At 44.1% G+C, this 19,697-nt stretch overlaps 2 protein-coding genes and 1 long non-coding RNA gene across 28 annotated transcripts in view, besides 4 other annotated features; 1 reads left to right on the top strand and 2 right to left on the bottom strand.

Moving 5' to 3' along the window:
• The window catches only part of NCR3LG1 (natural killer cell cytotoxicity receptor 3 ligand 1), a 29,862-nt gene extending 13,386 nt beyond the window's left edge, over window positions 1-16,476 (bottom strand). For 2 of the 4 annotated variants that reach the window (XM_047426906.1, NM_001202439.3), the window contains exons 1-3: window positions 16,237-16,476; window positions 11,275-11,625; window positions 929-1,267 (exon numbers count right to left, since the gene is read on the bottom strand). In XM_047426906.1, coding sequence (XP_047282862.1) covers window positions 929-1,267; window positions 11,275-11,625; window positions 16,237-16,306 — 760 coding nt within the window. In that variant the 5' untranslated portion in view covers window positions 16,307-16,476. Of the gene's footprint in view, window positions 1-928; window positions 1,268-11,274; window positions 11,626-14,303; window positions 14,812-15,592 lie in introns of those variants that run through there. The other 2 variants (XM_011520074.4, XM_011520075.4) reach the window with 2 other exon arrangements.
• Window positions 15,061-15,110: an enhancer, noted in NCBI's record as "active region_4488". NCBI's record gives its function as "activates an Ori minimal core promoter by ATAC-STARR-seq in GM12878 lymphoblastoid cells {active_cell/tissue: GM12878}" and the evidence as "EXISTENCE:reporter gene assay evidence [ECO:0000049][PMID:35858748]".
• Window positions 15,335-15,936: an enhancer, noted in NCBI's record as "H3K4me1 hESC enhancer chr11:17373887-17374488 (GRCh37/hg19 assembly coordinates)". NCBI's record gives its function as "activates a minimal SCP1, AML or CMV promoter by ChIP-STARR-seq in naive H9 embryonic stem cells {active_cell/tissue: H9 hESC(naive)}" and the evidence as "EXISTENCE:reporter gene assay evidence [ECO:0000049][PMID:30033119]".
• Window positions 15,937-16,538: an enhancer, noted in NCBI's record as "H3K4me1 hESC enhancer chr11:17373285-17373886 (GRCh37/hg19 assembly coordinates)". NCBI's record gives its function as "activates a minimal SCP1, AML or CMV promoter by ChIP-STARR-seq in naive H9 embryonic stem cells {active_cell/tissue: H9 hESC(naive)}" and the evidence as "EXISTENCE:reporter gene assay evidence [ECO:0000049][PMID:30033119]".
• LOC105376576 (uncharacterized) lies at window positions 16,410-17,463 on the top strand. Its single transcript, XR_931094.3, has 3 exons — window positions 16,410-16,497; window positions 17,102-17,239; window positions 17,365-17,463. It is a non-coding gene; the product is annotated as an uncharacterized LOC105376576 (long non-coding RNA).
• Window positions 16,535-16,654: a silencer, noted in NCBI's record as "silent region_3184". NCBI's record gives its function as "represses an Ori minimal core promoter by ATAC-STARR-seq in GM12878 lymphoblastoid cells {active_cell/tissue: GM12878}" and the evidence as "EXISTENCE:reporter gene assay evidence [ECO:0000049][PMID:35858748]".
• An 832-nt stretch (window positions 17,464-18,295) lies between the features above and the next one.
• Window positions 18,296-19,697, bottom strand: part of NUCB2 (nucleobindin 2) — a 73,242-nt gene continuing 71,840 nt past the window's right edge. For all 23 annotated transcript variants that reach the window (XM_024448553.2, XM_024448538.2, XM_024448540.2 and 20 more), the window contains one exon: window positions 18,296-18,931. In XM_024448553.2, coding sequence (XP_024304321.1) covers window positions 18,912-18,931 — 20 coding nt within the window. In that variant the 3' untranslated portion in view covers window positions 18,296-18,911. The remainder of the gene's footprint in view (window positions 18,932-19,697) is intronic.

Raw genomic sequence — 19,697 nt, 5'->3', positions numbered from 1 at the left:
ATATGAGCTCAAAAAGCCCCAGCCCACCAGCAGGAGTGGGTCTGCCGTGAACTGTGTTTTAAGGATCCAGTGTGCCTGGGGAAGGCATTGAGCATTTGCAGAACCACTCTACTGTAGCCCTCCCCATCTTGGGACACAGCCCATAAGACAAGACTACTGGCCGGGTGCTGTGGCTCATACCTGTAATCCCAGCACTTTGGGAGGCTGAGGCGGGCGGATCACCTGAGGTCAGGAGTTCGAGACCAGTCTGACCAACATAGAGAAACCCCATCTTTACTAAAAATACAAAATCAGCCGTGCGTGGTGGTGCATGCCTGTAGTCCCAGCTACTCAGGAGGCTGAGGCAGGAGAATCGCTTGAACACGGGAGGTAGAGGTTGTGGTGAGCTGAGATCACGCCATTACACTCCAGCCTGGGCAACAAGAGCGAAACTCCATCTCAAAAAAAAAAAAAAGACAAGACTACTGAGTCAGCCTCTACCAGCCAACAGTTTACAGTGGACCTAGAGCCTTATTAGAAGGGCTGCTAGCAGGACTGGTCCCTGGCCCCTGATAGCCCCTTATCCTCAGGGAACACGGGTAGGATACTGTCCCCATTCCCCTAGCAACTGGCAGGTTTCCTATTTCAAGCCATATGGACCATCCAAAACCCTGAAGCTGCCATGAGCTGACAAATAGCCCTGCTCCACCTGATGACTACAGTCACCACTCTCCACCTACTAAGACCATCATCTGCCCAGGTGTAGGGACCTAGGCTGGACTGCTGACTCTGGGGCTGAGCTAGGCCAGACTCCAGCTTGGTCCTTCCAGTCCAAGCTTTCTCTGTTTCCCCTTCAGTCCCCAGCTAAGACCCAGGCTGTGTGGGAATAAGTCTTATGTTATAGTCCCTCAAGGCAAGGAAGAGAAGAAATGTCCAGAAAGACCCTTACCAGAAAGACTGTGCCGAGCAGCAGTCAGGGTAAAGTTGCTCCTCAAGGGGGTATGCAAGGACGCATGCCGTACCACACACTGGTAGACAGTCCCAGGGTCTTCCTGAGAGGAGTTCAGCTTCAAGCAGCTAGTGACATTAAATGTGCCATCCATATTCTTGATGGTGGGACCAGTGATGACATCCTCAGAAATCTCTATGGGATGGGGAAACTTCTGGGTCTGCTTCTCCCATGTTATATTAATAGCCTCTGGGTAGAACCCACTTGACTCACACATATATTTGTCTTCATTCTCTTTCATGCCCACTTGATCCAGCAACAATCTGCTGGCTGGGGAAGCTGTCAGGGAAAAAAAATCATACAGAGTTGGGCCCAGCACCCTTTTATCCCCACCACACCTTATGCTAACTGGCTTCTACCATACCCTCACAGCTATGCATCACTGCTCCTGTAGCCAGATAAGACAAAAAACACAGGATGCCTACTCTTTAAAAATGCTGCAACCATGTCCAGCAATGAGCTGGAGATTTACAATACCAGACTGGGCACTCCTTAAGGGTAGGGAGGGATTAGCTTATTATCAGCCTGACATCTGAGCCATGGTAAGCCTTCAGGACATGTGAGTGACTGAATGCAAGTCAGCTTGGGCTAAATATTCTGGGTATGTTGGTGCCAGTGCCAACCGGGTACTGACATGCTGTGACCACAACTCTCACAGCAATTTTGTAAAGCAGAGTTTTCTTAAGCTGTGTTGTGAAACAGACACCTTTCATAATCTGAGGAAAGCCTTGGAACACTGTTGTGGTAGAGACTGCTAATTGCTCTTCAATTTCCATTCTGTGCATTTTTAGCTGGCCATGACATATCCAGATTAAACCTGTATCACCCAACCTCCACTGCAGGTATGTTTGGTCATGCAAACTCAGGGGTCTAGTAGGCCTGGATTTATGCAAAAGTGGCAAGAGCAACTTCTAGGAAGTATCCTTAAACTAAAAGGATGTCTTAAAAGACTGTCTCTTTCTCTCTCTCTCCTTATTTCCTGCAGAATGTTTGGAATACTATGTGATGACTGGAGATGGATAAGCCATTTCCAAACACAAGGTGGACGATACATACTGAAGATGGCAGAGTGACAAGATAAAAGGATCATGGGTCCCAGATGATCACAGAGCTAGCTGCCATATCTGCCCTGGGCTGGCTACATTAGTGTGAAAGAAAAATAAACTGCCATTTCCAAAGCCACTATTGACTTCCAGGTTTCCCTCTCACATGAGAGGTCATCACTCCCACCCTATAATAAGAACAAAAGCTGAACAAATTGAAAATCAACAGCTTTTCTTAGATTCCTCAGAGAATTGAAGTGACAGGGCAAACTGCCACTCAGAAAACTGGAGAAAGAAGGAGATTAAGAAAATTACAGCTAAGATCAAATCACCTCATGCAGAAGCTGCTGGAGTCATAAACCAGTAGAAGTACTTAAGCAGTAACTCCGACAAACTGCTAAAGGATGAGTGTGGACTAGCTTGAGAATAAAAACCTCCTCAGGTCCTGGTCTTAGGGATGCTTACCACACTTTCATGGGTTTTCATCCTCGGGACCCAGTCTTGGGGATGCTATCACACTGTCATGAGTTTTACTTCCAGGAACCCCACCAGATTCTCACAGTAAAGAGCCAAGAAAAATCTCCTCCTCTTTCTGGGGGATGGAAAGAAGTAATCATTTTAAAATATACCTAGATTATTCCCTCCATCTCAAGGGAAGATGTCAGAGCCTTATCTGACCTGAGAGAAGAAAATTAGCCAACTCCAGCTGTCTATAGCCTTTCTGTATTACTTAAGAAGAGAGAAAGAGAAAAGGCTAAGAAACACTTCTGAAGGCCACAGTCCAGAGGCTCAGGCCACTAAAAGAATAAGATTTAATCATAAAAGTATAAACAGATTCTCCTCCAACACTTTACTACCACATCAACAGGGCTCCAGTATAATAACAGAAGATTATAAGTGAGAGAGCTACAAGGCACAGAACCTATTTAAGGAGTTCATAAGGAAACCCAAAGACAATAGGAAAGGAGAGAAAAAAACACTAGAGAAACTGAAGTCTCTGGCACCTATAGCTACAATAAGCATTAAACACAACCCAGCTCCTAGCCAAATTAACATAAGGCCGCATAATAAAAGCCTATTACCTGATACATAATATCTCTCTTTCAACTAAAAAATTACAAGGCTAAAAAATACATAAAAACAAAGCAAACATCAGACCCAGACTCAGGTATGACACAGATTTTAGAATTATCATATAGGGAATTTTAAAAAACTATAATTAAAATGTTAAGAGCACTAACAGAAAGAGCAGATAACATGCACAAACAGATGGATAATATAAGCAGAGTGATGGAAATGCTAAGAACGAACCAAAAGTGAATGCTAGAGCTCAAAACACCATTAAAGAAATGAAGAATGCCTTCAGTGGGTTCAACAGTAGACTTGAAACTGACAAGGAGGCTGAACGCAATGGCTCATACCTATAATCCCAGCACTTTGGGAGGCCGAGGTGGGTGGATCACCTGAGGTCAGGAGTTCGAGACCAGCCTGACCAATATGGAGAAACCCCATTTCTACTAAAAATACAAAATTAGCCAGGGGTGGTGGCGCATGCCTGTAATCCCAGCTACTTGGGAGGCTGAGGCAGGATAATCACTTGAACCCAGGAGGCGGAGGTTGCAGTGACCTGAGATCACGCCACTGCACTCCAGACTGGGCAACAAGAGCAAAACTCCGTCTCAAAAAAAAAAAGAAACTGACAAGGAAAGAATCAGTGAGCTTGAAGATGTTAATAGAAACTTCCCAAACTGGGCACGGTGTGGTGGCTCACACCTATAATCCAAGCACTTTGGGAGGCCAAGGTGGGCAGATTGCTTGAGGTCAGGAGTTGGCGACCACCCTGTCCAACATGGCAAAACCCCGTCTCTACTTAAAAAACAAAAATTAGCCAGCATGGTTGTGCACACCTGTAGTCCCAGCTACTCAGGAGACTGAGGCACAAGAATTGCTTGAACCTGGGAAGCAGAGGTTGCATTGAGCCAAGATCCCGCCATTGCACTCCAGCCTGGGATACAGAGCAAGACCCTATCACAAACAATTTTTAAAAAAGAAACTTCCCAAACTGAAATACAAGGAGAAAAAAGAATTTAAAAAAAACCCCAGAATAGCCAAGAACTGTGGGATACTGCAAAAGGTGTAACAGATATATAATGGGAATACAAGAAGAAGAAAAGAGAAAGGAGCAGAAGAAATAATTTGAATAAATAATGGCTGAGAATTTTCCAAAATTAATGATAGACACCAAACTAAAGACCCAGGAAGCTTAGAGAATACCAGGCATGATAAATATCCAAATATGCCTATCCACGTCTAGCCATATCATATTTCAACTTTAGAAAGACAAAGATGGCCAAGCATGGTAGCTCACTCCTATAATCCCAGCACTTTCAGAGACCAAGGCAGGTGGATCACTTGAGCTCAGGAGTTCGAGGCCAGCCTGGGCAACATAATGAAACACCATCTCTACAAAAAATACAAAAATTAGCCATGCTTAGTGGCACCCGCGTGTGGCCCCAGCTACTTGGAAGGCGGAGGTGGGAGGATCACTTGGGCTTGAGCCCACTAGGGTGAAGCTGCAATGAGCCGTGATCATACCACTGCACTCCAACCTGGGAAACAGAGTGGGACCCCATCTCAAAAGAAGAAAGAAAGAAAAGAAAAGAAAAGAGAGAAAGAGGAAGGAAGGAAGGAAGGAAGGAAGGGAGGGAGGGAGGGAGGGAGGGAGGGAGGGAGGGAGGGAGGGAAAAGAAAGACAGAAAAAAGTCACAGGAAAAAAAACACACCTTACATATAGAAGAACAAGAACAACACTGGACTTCTTGTCAGAAACAATGCAAGCAAGGAGAGAGTGAAGTGAAATATTTAAAGCATTGAAACTTAAAAAAGAGAAAAACACCAACATGGAATCTTATATCCAGAAAAATTTTCCTTCAAAGGTGAAGTATAAATAAAGACTTTCTCAGACAAACCTTTCACCAATAGACCTGCTGTGCGAGAAACATAAAAAGAAGTGCTTTAGTGGGCCAGGCATGGTGGCTCATGCCTGTAATCCCAGCACTTTGGGAGACCAAGGTGGGAGGATCACTTGAGCCGAGGGAGTTCAAGACGAGTCTGGGCAACATAGACTCCATCTCTTAAAAAAAAAAAAAAAATTAAATTAGCAGGGCATGGTGGTGCATGCCTGTGGTCCCAGCTATTCCAGAGGCCGAGGTGGGAGTATCGCTAGTGCCCAGGAGGTCAAGGCTGCAGGGAGCCATGATCGCACCACTGCACTCCAGCCTGGACAGCAAAGCAAGACGTTGCAGGAAGAAAGGGAAGAGAAGGGAAGGGAAGGGAAGGGAAGGGAGGGGAGGGGAGGGGAGCGGAGGGGAGGGGAGGGGAGAAAGAAAGGAAGGAAATGAAGAAATGAAGAAAGGAAGAAAGGAAGAAAGAAAGAAAGAAAGAAAGAGAGAGAAAGAAGGAAAGAAGGAAGGAAGGAAAGAAAGAAAGAAAGAAAGAAAGAAAGAAAGAAAGAAAGAAAGAAAGAAAGAAAGAAAGAAAGAAAGAAAGAAAGGAAGGAAGGAAGGAAGGAGACACTGAGTCAATAACTAGTAAAAAAAAAAAAAAAGAAGAAGAAAAAAATCACCTTCCAAAAAGGAAAGCACCAGGTTCGGATGGTTTCACTGGTTAATCCTACTAAACATTTAAGGAATAAATAATGCCAGTTTTTTACAATTTCTTCCAGAAAGTAGAAGTAGACAGAGGGAACACATTCTAACTTATTCTACAAGCCCAATATTATCCTACTGCCAAAACCGCATAAAGACATTACCAGAAAAGATAACTACAGATCAATATCACTCATTAAAGTAGATACAAAATCCTCAAGAAAATATTAGCAAATATAATCCAACAATACAGAAAAAATTACATACCATAACCAAGAGAGGCATATTACACATATGCAAGGCTGGCTTATCATTCAAAAATTGGTTAATGTAAGTCATCATATCAACAGGCTAAAGAAAAAATTATATGATCATACCAATAATGCAGAAAAAGTATTTGACAAAACCCAAGACTGATTCATATGAAAAACTCTTAGCAAACTAGGAATAAAAGGGAAACTTCCTCAACTTGCTAAAGAATATCTACCAAAAAATAGCTAATATCATATTTCATGGTTAGAAAGTAAAATCAGAAATGGACAAGATGTCCCTTCTAACCACTCCTGTGCAACATTGTAATGGAAGTCTAAGCTAGCATAACAGGACAAGAAAAGGAAATAAAAGGTATAAAGTTAGAATGGAAGAAATATGAGGCCTGGTACAGTGGCTCACACAATGTAATCCCAGCACTTTGGGAGGCCAAGGCAGGGGGATCACTTGAGCTCAGGAGTTCAAAACCAGCCTGGGCAACATAGTGAGACCTCACCTCTGTAAAAAATAAAATAAAATAATGGAAGAAATAAAACTGTATTTTTAACAGACAGCCTGATTTATGTAGAAAAATCTCAAGACTTGGCCAAAAACAAAAACAAAAACAAAAACAAAAAAATCCCTAGAATGAATAAGTGATTAAAGCAAGTTGCAGGATACAAAGTTAATAAGCAAAAATCAATTATTTGACAGGAATGAACAATTGAGCAACTGGAATTTGAAATTAAAAATATAATACCATTGGCCAGGTGTGGTGGCTCACATCTGTAATCCCAGCACTTTGGGAGGCCGAAGCTGGTGGATCATTTGAGGTCAGGTGTTTGAGACCAGCCTGGCCAACTTGGTGACCCGTCTCTACTAAAAATACAAAAATTAGCCAGGCGTGGTGGCGCATGCCCGTAATCCCAGCTACTCGGGAGGCTGAGGTAGGAGAATTGCTTGAACCCAGGAGGCAGAGGTTGCAATGAGCTGAGATTGTACCACTGCACTCCAGCCTGGGCAACACAGCGAGACTCTGTCTCAAAAAAAAAAAAAAAATGTCAATTTTTCCCAACTTGATCTCTAGATTCAATGCAATCCCAGTCAAAATCCCGGAAAGCCATTTTGCAGATATCAACAGATTCTCAAATTTGTATGGAAAGAAAAAACCCAGATAGCTAACACTATACTGAAGAAAGGCAACAAAAATGAGGGACTAACACTACCTGACTTCCAGACTTACTACTAAAATACAATAATCAAGATAGTGTGGTACTGGGGAAAGAAGAGGGAGATCAATGAAACTGAATAGGGCAGGGTGTGGTGGCTCACACCTATAATCCCAACACTTTGGGAGGCTGAGACGGGGGAGATCACTCGAGCTCAGAAGTTCCAGACCAGCCTGGGCTACACGGCGAAACTCTATCTCTACAAAAATACAAAAATTGGCTGGGAGCGGTGGCGCGAGCCTGTAGCACAAGCTACTCGGAAAGCTGAGATGGTAGGATTGCCAGGGCCCAGGAGGCAGAGGCTGCAGTGAGCCAAGATTGTGTCACTGTACTCCAGCCTGTATTAAAAGAAAAAAAGAAAAAGAAAAGAAACTGAATAGAAAGCCCAGAAATGGACCCACACAAATATATTCAACTGATCTTTGACAAAGAAGCAAAGGCAATTCAATGGAGAAAGGACAGTCTTTTCAACAAATGATGCTGGAACAATTAGGTGTTCATATGCAAAAAAAAAAAAAATACATATAGAATATAGACACAAACCTTACACTTTTCACAAAAATTAAAGTAAACTGCATCATAGACCTAAATGTCAATGGTAAAACTATAAACCTTCTAGATGATAACACAGGAGAAAATCTAGGTAGCCTTGGGTTTGGTGATGAGCTTTAGGACACAATGTTAAGAGCATGATCCATGAAAGAAAAATGTAGTAAGTTCGACTTTTTAAAATTAAGAACTTCTGCTCTACAAAAGACATTGTTAAGAGAATGAAAAGACAAGCCACAGACTGTGAGAAAATATCTGTGAGACATCTATCTGATAAAGGCTTGTATCCAGAATGTACAAAGGACTCTTAAAACACAACAATTTAAAAAATGAGCCCAGTTAAAAAATAGGCAAACAATCTGAACAAACATCTCATCAAAGAAGACATACAATTCCCAGTACTTTGGGAGGCCGAGACACGCAGATCATTTGAGCCCAGGAGTTCAAGACCAGCCTGGGCAACACAGCAAAACCCTATCTCTACAAAAAATACAAAAATTAGCCAGGCATGGTGATGTGCACCTGTAGTCCTAGCTACTTGGGAGGCTGAAGCCTGGGAGAATCACCTGAGCCTGGGAAGTGAGCTGTAATCACACCACTGCACTCCAGCCTGGACAACCAATGAACACACAAAAAAAGAAGACATACGAATGGCAAGTAAGAATATGAAAAGATGTCCAACATTATATCATTAGGGAACTGCTAATTAAAACAACAAATGAGATACCACTATATACTTATTAAAATGGCTAAAATCTGGGCTGGGTATGGTGGTTCATGCCTGTAATCCCAGTACTTTGGGAAGCTGAGGTGGGCAGATCATCTGAGGTCAGGAGTTCAAGACCAGCCTGGCCAACATGGTGAGACCCCATCTCTACTAAAAATACAAAAATTAGCCAGGCGTGGTGGCGGGCACCTGTAATCCTAGTTACCTGGGAGGCTAAGGCAGGAGAATCGCTTAAACCTGGGAGGTGGAGGTTGCAGTAAGCCAAGGTCACACCACTGCACTCCGGCCTGGGCAACAGAGCAAGACTGTCTCAAAAAAAAAATCTCAAAAAAAAAAAAAAAAGGAATTGCCAAAAAGCACTGTACTCTAGTAGATAAAGTTGTTTCTTATCGGAGTACAGGTTAATAATTAATTCAATAAACAGAGGATGGTGGGTACAGGTTTCTCACTGTTGGAGTGGGAGTTTACAGATGAGCAAGAGAAGGAAACTAGAATGATCTATGTGGTGATGGACTAAAGTTGGAGACATCAGTAAGAACAAATGTTTAATGTAATATAGGTACAGATGGTTACACATAGAAATATTTGTAGATATGTGTATATGCAGAGGTTAGTATGCATACATGTATTTCTTTGCTCTGTTGGCTGAGAGGGTCTAGAATCAATGATACCTCAGCAGCAAAAAGTACACTTACTGTCCAGGTCTTGGTTTCTAAGATCACTTTCCAATAAAAGGAACCAAGGTTTCTTGGAGTATTGGTTGGTTCTAGGACTAGAACCAGGAAATATACAAGAGAGGAAATATACAAGATGAGTCTGGAGCATCTTATAGTGCCAAAATGTAAAAAGTGCTTAAAATCAAACAAAATTCTTGATATGAATTTGCCAAAAATTAAATAAAACAAAAAATAAAATAATAAAACAAAACAAAATCTTACAATGATTGGGGTATGTCAATGTGACACAAGAGCCAAGTGAATGAGCTCCCCGTGGCCAAAGCTGGAAAAATTTGAGAAAAAATAAAGTAGTATTGCATTATAACACAAAGTATAAAATAAATATCCTTGAGTCCTTATTGATATCAATGATTGAATAAAGTCATAAATGGGAGAAAAGAGATAAATCTCCCATGCAGAAGAATTCTTAAAAAAATTATGTAGATACTCCACCTCCAAGGAGGAAGAACATAAGTAACCCCCAACCTTAAGTGTGGGCTGCACAGAGTGACTTCCTTTCAAAGAGTACAGTATGAAAATAGGAGGAAGAGTAACTTTTCAGTAGAGAAACCAGACAAACACTACTTCAACTAGATGGTCAAGGTCAACATCAACAGTCATAAGTCATGTGATTTGATGTGATGAAAATGGCAGTTTACCTCTGCGATGTTCCTCCAAAAACCCATAACCCCAAGTCCAATTATGAGGAAAACAGCAGACAAATCCTAACTTAGTGACATCCTGCAATATACCTGACCAATACCCTCACCAAACTGTCAAGGACATCAAAAATAAGGTCTAAGAAATTGTCACAGCAAAAAGGAGCCTAAGAACATATAACAATTAAATGCAATGTGGTATTCTGACGGGATCCTGGAGCAGGAAAAGGACATTAGGTAAAAACTAAGGAAATATGAATAAATTACACACTTTCATTATAGTAAAATGTCAATATGGGTTCATTAATTATATCAAGGTACCATACGAATACAAGATGTTAATAACAGGGGAAATGGTATGCAGGGCGTGAGTGATATGAGAACTCTCATACTATTTTTGCAATGTTTCTGTAAATCTAAAACTGTCCTTAAAAAAAGTCTATTAATGTCTTTAAAAGCCACTGTTGGCCAGGCATGGTAGTTCATCCCTGTAATGCCAGCACATTGAGAGGCCCGGGCACAAGGATCTCTTGAGGCCAGAAGTTGGAGACGAGCCTGGGCAACACAAGGCCCCATCTCTACAAAAATGTAAAAATTCGCCAGGCATGGTGGCATGCAACCGAGGTCCTAGCTACTCAGGAGGCTGAGGCAGGGGGATCACTTGAGCCCTGGAGTTTGAGGTTACAGTGAGCTATGATTGTGCCATGCTCTCCAGCCTGGGCAACAGAGGGAGACCCTGTCTCCTATGTAGACCCTTTATATAGATATATAAAGCCTAGAAGAACAGTGGCTATATATATACGGCCACTGTCAGTTGGCCGTATATATAGCCACTGTCACTGTTATTCCTCTGTCAGTTGCAGAGGAAGTGAATCCTAATTAATATGCCTCTCACTCCCAAAATTACTACGGACAAAACATTCAAAGTCTTATGTACAATTATGGAGGGCCCATGCTGGGCTGAATTATGTCCTCCTAAAATTCTTATGTCCTCCCAGAATTCCCAGTATCTCTGAATGTGACTGTATTTAGAGATAGGTTCTTTAAAGAGGTAATTAAGTTAAAAATGGGGTTATTAGGATGGGCTCTGATCCAATATGATTGGTATCCTTATAAGAAGAGGAAATTAGGACACAGATATAGGCACAAAGGAAAGACCATGTGAAGACACAGGGAGAAGATGGCCAGAGAAGAGAGGCCTCAGAAGAAACCAATCCTGCTGATGTCTTCATCTCAGACTTCTAGCCTTCCAAAAGTGTGAAAAATAAACATCTGTTGTTTAAAGGCATCCAGTCAATGGTATTTTGTTATGGCAGCCTTAGCAAACTAATACAGCCACCAAGCTCATCCATGTATTATCAGACCATTTTATAATACAGGAAAGTGGAGCTCAAAGAGGTGTGTGGGTTTTGTTGTTGCTAACCCCAACACCATGGGAACTGTAGGGCACTGCCCCGAGACACTCACCCACAACTTCAAGCTGGACTGTTCCCTGTGCCTTCAGAGGGGTGACCACCACCTCACATCGGTACTCTCCTGCTTCCTCCAGCTGGATTCCAGGCAGCCGCAGTGAGGCGTCCCCACTCTTCAGCCTCCATGGAGACACAATGGCTCCAGGTCGGAATGCCTCTTGGTGATCTCCAAAAAATTCAAAGACTTTGACTTCTTTGTCAAACGTCAGACTCTTCCAAAACCAGGTGATACCCATAGACGTGATGTTGAGGGGTTGGGAATAAAAGATATTGCAGAATATGGTGACATTGTCATTCAGGGGTGTGATCTGAGTCCCCCCTGCCATCATCTCTACTTTCAGATCACCTGTGGCAATAAGAGGACACAATGTTCAGTTTACCAATGTATGAACATCTTTTTGAGATGTGCTATGGACTGAATGCTTGAGTCCTCCAAAATTCATATGGAGGCCTGACCCCCAGTGTGATGGTATCTGGAGGCAGGGCCTTTGGGAAGCGATTAGGTCATAAGAGGAAAGTCCTCACGAATGGGATTAGTGCCCTTACAAGAAAAGACATGAGGCCAGGCACGGTGGCTCATGCCTGTAATCCCAGCACTTTGGGAGGCCCAGGCAGGCAGGTCATGAGGTCAGGAGATTGAGACCATCCTGGCTAACATGGTGAAGCCCCATCTCTACTAAAAATACAAAAAATTAGCCAGGCGTGGTGGTGCACACCTGTAATCCCAGCTACTCGGGAGGCTAAGGCAGGAGAATTGCTTGAACCCAGGAGGCAGGGGTTGCAGTGAGCTGAGATCATGCCACTGCACTCCAGCCTGGGTGACAGAGCGACACTCTGTCTCAAAAAAAAAAAAAAAAAAAGAAAGAAAGAAAAGAAAAGAAAAAGACAAGACATGAAGCTGGGCCTGGTGGTTCACACCTATAATCCCAGCACTCCCAGAGTCTGAGGCCAGAGGATCGTTTGAGCCCAGGTGTTCCAGACCAGACTAGGCAATATAATGGGACCTTGTCTCTACAAAAAAATAAAAATAAATTAGCCCAGCATGGTGGTTAGCACTTGTAGTCCCAGCTACTTGGGAGGCTGAGGTGAGAGGATCCCTTGTGCCCAGAAGTTCAAGGCTGCAGTCAGCCGTGATAATGCCATTGCACTCTAGCCCGAGTGACAGAGTGAGACTCTGTCTCAAAAACAAACAAATAAATAAATAAATAAGAAAAGACATGACAGAGAGATATGTCTCTCTCCACCACGTAAAGATACAGCAAGAAGGTATCCTTCTATAAACTAGAAATGAGGCTCTCACCAGAAACCAGATCATCCACACTTTCCTCTTGGACTTCCCAGCCTCCAGAATCATGAGAAATAAATTTCTGTTTAAGCCACACAGTATATATCTGTTATGGTAGCCTGGCAAGACTAAGACAGGACATTTTTCCATTTCATTTATTTAGATTTTAAATTTCTTTCAGCAATATTTTACAGTTTCCAGAGTATATATTTTCTGTTTCTTTCGTTAAATTTACTCATAAGTATTTTATCTTTTGATGCTATTGTAAAGAGAATTTTCTCTTTTTTTTTTGATGTTTTCCTATTTATTTATTTAGAGACAGGGTCTCGCTGTGTCACCCAAGCTGGAGTGCAGTGGTGCTATCACTGCTCACTGCAGCCTCCACCTCCTGGGCTCAAGTGATCCTCCTGTCTCAGCCTCCCAAGTAGTTGGGACTACAGGCACATGCCACCATGCTCAGCTAATTTTTTCATTTTTTGTAGAGATGGAGTCTTACTAAGTTGCCCAGACTGGTCTCTAACTCCTGGGCTCAAGCAATCCTCTCATTGCCTCCTCAAGTATTGGGATTACAGGTATGAGCCACTGCGACTGGCTAGATGTTTTCCATTTTAGAACAGTAGGTTGCTAGCAAGTTTACGCTTATACCTATTCCAACAAAAAGTGCAAGGACAGTTCAAAATATTACATTTGCTATTTCAAAGAAGAGTACAACTCCAAAGAAGTCAGACTCATTACTAACAATGCAGAGCTAGACATCTATATTTAGATAAATGTCAGAAACCGAATTCCCCTTGTTGCCATCAAACATGTCCTTTCATTAGTCACATCCAACATATCTAAATAAAGTTTTCAAAATTAATGTTAACAAAAATGTATCCAAAAACCTGCCAACTTACTCAAAGATTTGTGCAAGTCTATTTTTTAAAATAATACATTAGGGAAACGCGGTGACAAGCTTTCTGTTCTATGTATCAAAGCAAAAACAGACTTGACCTACAAAATGAAGATAGGGTCAACTGTAACCAAAAAAACAGTATGCTTCCCCCTGGTGGCCAACCAAGAAATGGAGAAACCAAGGATATGAAACAGCCAGGCCACCTAGTTGTATTGTCACTCTTAAAAACGAAAAGTGACTACCAAAAAAAAAAAAAAAAAAAAAAAAAAAAGAAGAAGAATTGGGGGGTCGGAGGGAGAAGGGAAAATATCAAAAACACTAACATGTGCTTAAAAGGAATACAAACCTGAGTGCCAGACTACATAAATTTAGAAGATTTAAATCAACAAATCAAAATTTAGAAGGCAAATTTGGGAAACCTCGTCTATTTTCAGAGCGCCCAAGCGCTCACCCAGGACCTCCATGTATTTTCATTTAAAGGTACAGAGTGTAGTACCTTAACAGCTTAACAGCATTCGCCTTTTTCAAGGACTAGATCCTTGGAATTTTCTGCAGTCTTGTTTCCAAGGAAAAGCATTTATGCATTTATCTTTTCAAATCAACTAGTGGTATAACCTACATAGAGAACCTCCAGTTCTAGAGCTCTCCAACTAGGGAGGACTGTTAACTACAGCTTTACAAATTGCTCTTTTCAACTTCATTTCTGAAATAAAACCTAACGTTCTTTAAAACATTTTCTATATCAACAACCTTTAAAGACATTCTCATACAAAGACGGGCTAGAATCTCTTGCATTAAAATCTGACGAATTCCTTTGTATGACTGGATTTTTTTTTTCTTGTACCACTTTAAATTTGCTTCCACGCAGAATAGCAGCCAGGCAAACAGATGCTCCATCCTAAGGTGTAGGAATTTCTTGTAGGCGGAAATGATTTGTTAGGCGAAAGCTTCCGAAACGGTTTTCCATTTCACAGTCTCTTCCGGTGCCAAAGTCCAGCACCAACGCCTGGTTCTGGGGTCCGACCCTCATGCAGCCGCCGCCGCGCTCCTCGTGGCTGGACGAGCCGGAACTAGCTTCCTCCAGGAGCTGCTGCTGCTGCTGCCGTCACTGGGCGCCGCCGCACAGCCAAACGGCGTTCCTCCCTCTCCGCTTCCCTGAGAACTCGCGGCCCTTCTCCACCACCACCAGCATCCGCGGGGACCGAGACCGGACGAAAGTGGCGGGGACCCAAGGCCCCTGAGGAGGGGGCGCCGGGCCCGGGAGGGGGCGCGGGACGGGCATGGGACCGGGTGGGCGCGGCGGCAGCCCACTGGCGCCACTTCGAGCTCGAGGAGACCCAGACTGATAGAGCGCGGAGGCGTTTCCAGACCGCAGCGACAGGCGTTTCCAGACCGCAGTGACAGGCGTTTCAAGTCCGCAGCGCGGAGACAAGCGCAATTTTGGCTTTCCACTTCACCGCCCACACTTCACTCGGAACTGTCTTATTTTCACATTGCTTATTGCAAATGTATAGAAATACTATTCACTCGTTTTTATTTCCACTTCCCTCTCCCATCGGGCAGCCATTCTAAGGTGTTTAACATGTAATTTTTGTTCTCTTTAAGGCTGTATCTTCTGTTTCTCAAACTGTGGAAATGGTATTGCATTGTATGTCCACTGTTTACTTGGCTCTACGCCTTCAACATCCGTTCACGCTGCTCGGCAAGCAGCAAGGGCGTGGTGTGAAGCTGCCGCCAAGGTCTCCACGGTGAGGTCCACACGCGGCTCTCCTCCACCTGCAGTGACTCGGGGCGCCCAGAGCGCGCCTCCGGGATTCCTACATTCCACCTCCACCACCCGGCACCCAGGAGCGTATTTTGGCCAGCCTAGTAAGGGTCAAGCAGCATCTTGTTGTTTAATTGCCATTCTTCTAGTTAGAAATGAGTTTAAATATCTCTACATACGCGTTTCAGCCTTTTAGTCTCCTGTTTAAGTTAACGCAGAACACGCCCATACGAGTTCCCAAAAAAGCAAGAGAACGTTTGAAGGTCACCACAAGATCAAAACACTCCCCTCCCTCTCTCAGTAAAGACCTAACTTAGCAAAGCCAGGAGGACCCACTGATATGCGGATGAATGATTTTTCCAATTTACCGATTCCCTGATTTTCTTCTCTCCTCCGGCCCCTCGGATGATGCGAGAGAGGCGCCAAATACCGAGGCACCAAACGCGCGACATCCAAGGAAGCACCGTTTCCGCTCTCACAGGTGTCGACCCTGCACAGGGCAGGCCTTCAATGTAAACCTGTTGCATCGGGGACTCCGCTTCTCACAAAGGAGGGACGCTTGAAAATAGAGCCCCCAGGCCGGGCGCGGGGGCTCACGCCTGTAATCCCCGCACTTTGGGAGGCCGAGGCGGCTGGATCACTAGGTCAAGGAGACCATCTTGGCTAACACTGTGAAACCCCGTCTCTACTAAAAGTACAAAAAATTAGCCGGGCATGGTGGCGGGCGCCTGTGGTCCCAGCTACTCGGGAGTCTGAGGCAGGAGAATGGCGTGAACCTGGGAGGCGGAGCTTGCAGTGAGCCGAGATCGCGCCACTTCACTCCAGCCTGGGAGACAGAGCGAGACTCCGTCTCAAAAAAAAAAAAAAAAAAAAAGGAGAAGAAATAGAAAAGAAAATAGAGCTCTCAGCCCCCAGGAAGTTGAGGTCCCCTGGCGGGATGCTAGGGAGCCGACCCGCGAGGACCCTCTGGCGCCAGGAGCCCCCGCCCCAGCCCACCCCAGCCGCCCCCTACCTTCGGTCGTCAGCGCCCACAGCAGAATCAGGAGCGCCGCGCACGTGGAGGCGGCAGCCCTCCACGTCATCGCCGCGGCTGCTGTTGTGTAATTTTTTTCGCCGAGTGGGAGCAGGCGGCCCGGTAGAAACCAAGGGCAGGGGGAGACCTCTGTTGCGTAAAGAGTTGACGGAGACACAGCCGGGATTTCCAGCCGGCGCTTTTGCACATCCCACTTCTTCAGATCCCTTCGGCAACTGCGAAGTCGCCTGGATTTCCCAGGTTCGCACTGCAGGAAGCCAGGCGCGTGACCAGCCCCACCCGCGCCGCACTTTAGCCCGGGGGCGGGCACCGGCCGGGGAATCCTCCCTCGCCTCCGCCCGCGGCACGAGGTTGCGCGGTTACAGCCCCGGTGCCTCTCGCGAGCGGCTCTGCGGTCCAGGACTCGGGGCATCCTCTGGGTTCGCTTAGTAAATTGAGACCGGGATCCAAGTGGCCCGGGGCGCTGCTCTAAGGAAGATGCTGACCGCAGTCGGTGATTGCGAGAGCAGGTGCACGCGTCCAGAGCGACATCTTACCGTTGGCGCGATAAACTTACATTACTTTAAAAACCAAAAACAACAAAAATTTAGCATTAAGTCGAAAGGCAAATTAAATCCCCAGGACAATTCAGTTAAACGCCTGAAGGTGGCCCTTAATTTCCCATTTCTACTAATCAAGAAGTGGCTTGCGACCTCCTGAAGCAAACCCAAATATTCTCATTCGGTGATTAAGTTTTACCACCTCTACACCAGTTTTTAAATCAATTTAACCGCAAAGTTCAGAACCCAAGTGGCACAGTAAATGTGTGTGCATTTATAACGCAGAACCTGCATTCTTTCCCCAGCAACCTGCATTCCATTTGTCTCATTGACCCTACTGCATTTTTCCTTCGCATCATTAAAAAGGATGTAATGTACAGAAAAGCACAGACAGACCTAAACTCCAATGCCAACCATGCCATCTGCTGATTATAAGACAGTGGGTAAGTGACCTCATATCCCCAGCCTGTTCACATGTCTCTAAAACTGAGAGAGTAAAAGCTTCCTTTCCAGGGTTAGAGACACTGTCACTGACTAAGCAAATAGTCACATTCTCACTTATCTGCAGAACAGAGTGCATACAGAAAGAGCTCAGAAGTGAAAGATGCGCAGAGTGCCCACAGTGGCAGCAACTAGCTGAGGGGCCTTCAGATCGCAGCCTTCCGGACCACCGTTATAACAGGTAGAGATATGCAAGGTTAAGTCCAGCTATTGAATTTTTAAAACCTAAATTACACCTCTTCTCAACCTCTGCCTCCTCCAAGGAGCCTTACCTGAGGAGACATCCTTGTCTGGTATTAGTGACATCATTAAATAACATTCCCAATGGAGGTATATGACGACTTCTTATACATGCCCAGAATAGTGATTCACAAAGTTGTGACACATACACATCACCCTGTAGAAATTATCAAATTACTCTTTTGGTAATTTTTACTGTTTTGGTAATTTTTTTGTACCCTTTTTACTCTAAAGGGTAAAACCGGCAGGTTTCTCTATTTATATTTCATTAGAATGAAAAGTCATTACCTGTGTTTTCGTTTTTACCAATATCATGTCTATTTGAACATCTTTTTTTTTTTTTTTTTTTTTTTTTTTTTTTTGGTGAGACAGAGTCTCGTTCTGTTGCCCAGGCTGGAGTGCAGTGGCGTGATCTCAGCTCACTGCAACCTCTGCCTCCCAGGTTCAAGAGATTATTGTGCCTCAGCTTCATCCTCCCAAGTAGCTGGGATTGCAGGTGCCTGCCACCACACCCAGCTAATTTTTGTATTTTTAGTAGAGACAGAGTTTCACCATGTTGGCCAGGCTGGTCTTGAACTCCTGACCTCAAGTGATCCGCCCACCTCGGCCTCCCAAAGTGCTGGGATCACAGGCGTGAGCCACCACACCCGGCCTGAACATGTCTTTTAATACTTTTGCCAACTTTCCATTCAACCCTAAAGCACACAGCAGATACCTCACGATGCTTCTCAAACAAAATAAGCATATATTCTCAGGAATTATTTATGGAAAACTCTGACTTTCTGTGTTCTTTATTGGTGCACAGCATTGAGACACGGTATTCAAATGCTGGTTGACACTGAGGTCATTTTTATGACACATTGCATCCAACTTGCTGTTGGAATATCACATACAATTTTGGAACCATATTGTAACACATATTGAAAATATCCAACAAGTAATCAGAATGGTAAATAAGGGACATTCACTCAAAGACATGTATCCAGGGACAGTATGGCAGAGACTGCTATTTGTCAACCAATATCTGTTTTCCCCTTTTTCCTTGAAAAAGGCCTCCAATATTTTCCTGGGCACAGGGATCAATAAAAGACTGCATTTCCTAATCATTCTGGAACTAAATGTGGCCATATGACCAAGTTCTGGCCAAAGTAATATAAATGGAAATGTTCTGTGTGACTTCTGGGAAATGTCCTTAAAGAGAAGGAAATGATCTTCTTTTCCCCTTCCTTCTTTCTGACAGCAGGATAGCAGATGTAATGCCTAGAGCTTGAGGAGACATCTTGCACCACAGTGTGGAAACCATGCACTAGGACAAAGGGACAGCAAAAGAGAAGGGTTCTGGGTCCCTGATGACTCGTGAAACCTCTACCAGCTTTAGAAGGACACCTCTGGACCTGTGGAACATAAGAAATAAAGTCAGTAAGCTACTCTTATTTAAAATGTTCTCATTTTCAGCAGAACCTAATCCTAATCACTACAAATGAGTAAAGGAGCTGAGCCCATTTTGTTTGGAGTAGCCTGGGGGTTTAAGAAATGGTACCAGTCTTGTAAGTCTCTGAAAAGCTAACACCTGTGTATGTGAGTACACATGTTAGGTGATGTTCTTGAAGGCAAAAGCAAGTTGGAGAGAGATTTTGGCTCAGTATAAGAAAAGCTTTCTGCTGGGCGCGGTGGCTCACACCTGTAATCCCAGCACTTTGGGAGGCCGAGGCGGGTGGATCACCTGAGGTCAGGAGTTCGAGACCAGCCTGGCCAACATGGTGAAACCCTGTCTCTACTAAAAATACAAAACTTAGCCAGGTGTGGTGGCAGACGCCTGTAATCCCAGCTACTCGGGAGGCTGAAGCAGGAGAATCACTTGAACCCGGGAAGCGGAGGTTGCAGTGAGCCGAGATCAATGCCGTTGCACTCCAGCCTGAGTGACAAGTGTAAGACTCTGTCTCAAAAAAAAAAAGGAAAGGAAAGCTTTTCTATTAAAGGAATGGGACATTTCAAGTTGCCCCTCAGCAACAATTTATTGAACTCTGCCAGGCACAATCTAGGAGTGACGAATTCAGCGATGGCTAAAGCACAGTCCTTAGCTTCAAAAAATCTGTCTAGGCCAGGTGTAGTGGCTTATGCCTGTAATCCCAGCACTTTGGGAAGCCAAGACAGGAGGAT

Source organism: Homo sapiens, chromosome 11 (assembly GCF_000001405.40).
Source record: "Homo sapiens chromosome 11, GRCh38.p14 Primary Assembly".
In the NCBI taxonomy this organism is placed as follows: domain Eukaryota; kingdom Metazoa; phylum Chordata; class Mammalia; order Primates; family Hominidae; genus Homo; species Homo sapiens.
This window is presented reverse-complemented; position numbering and strand designations above follow the sequence as displayed.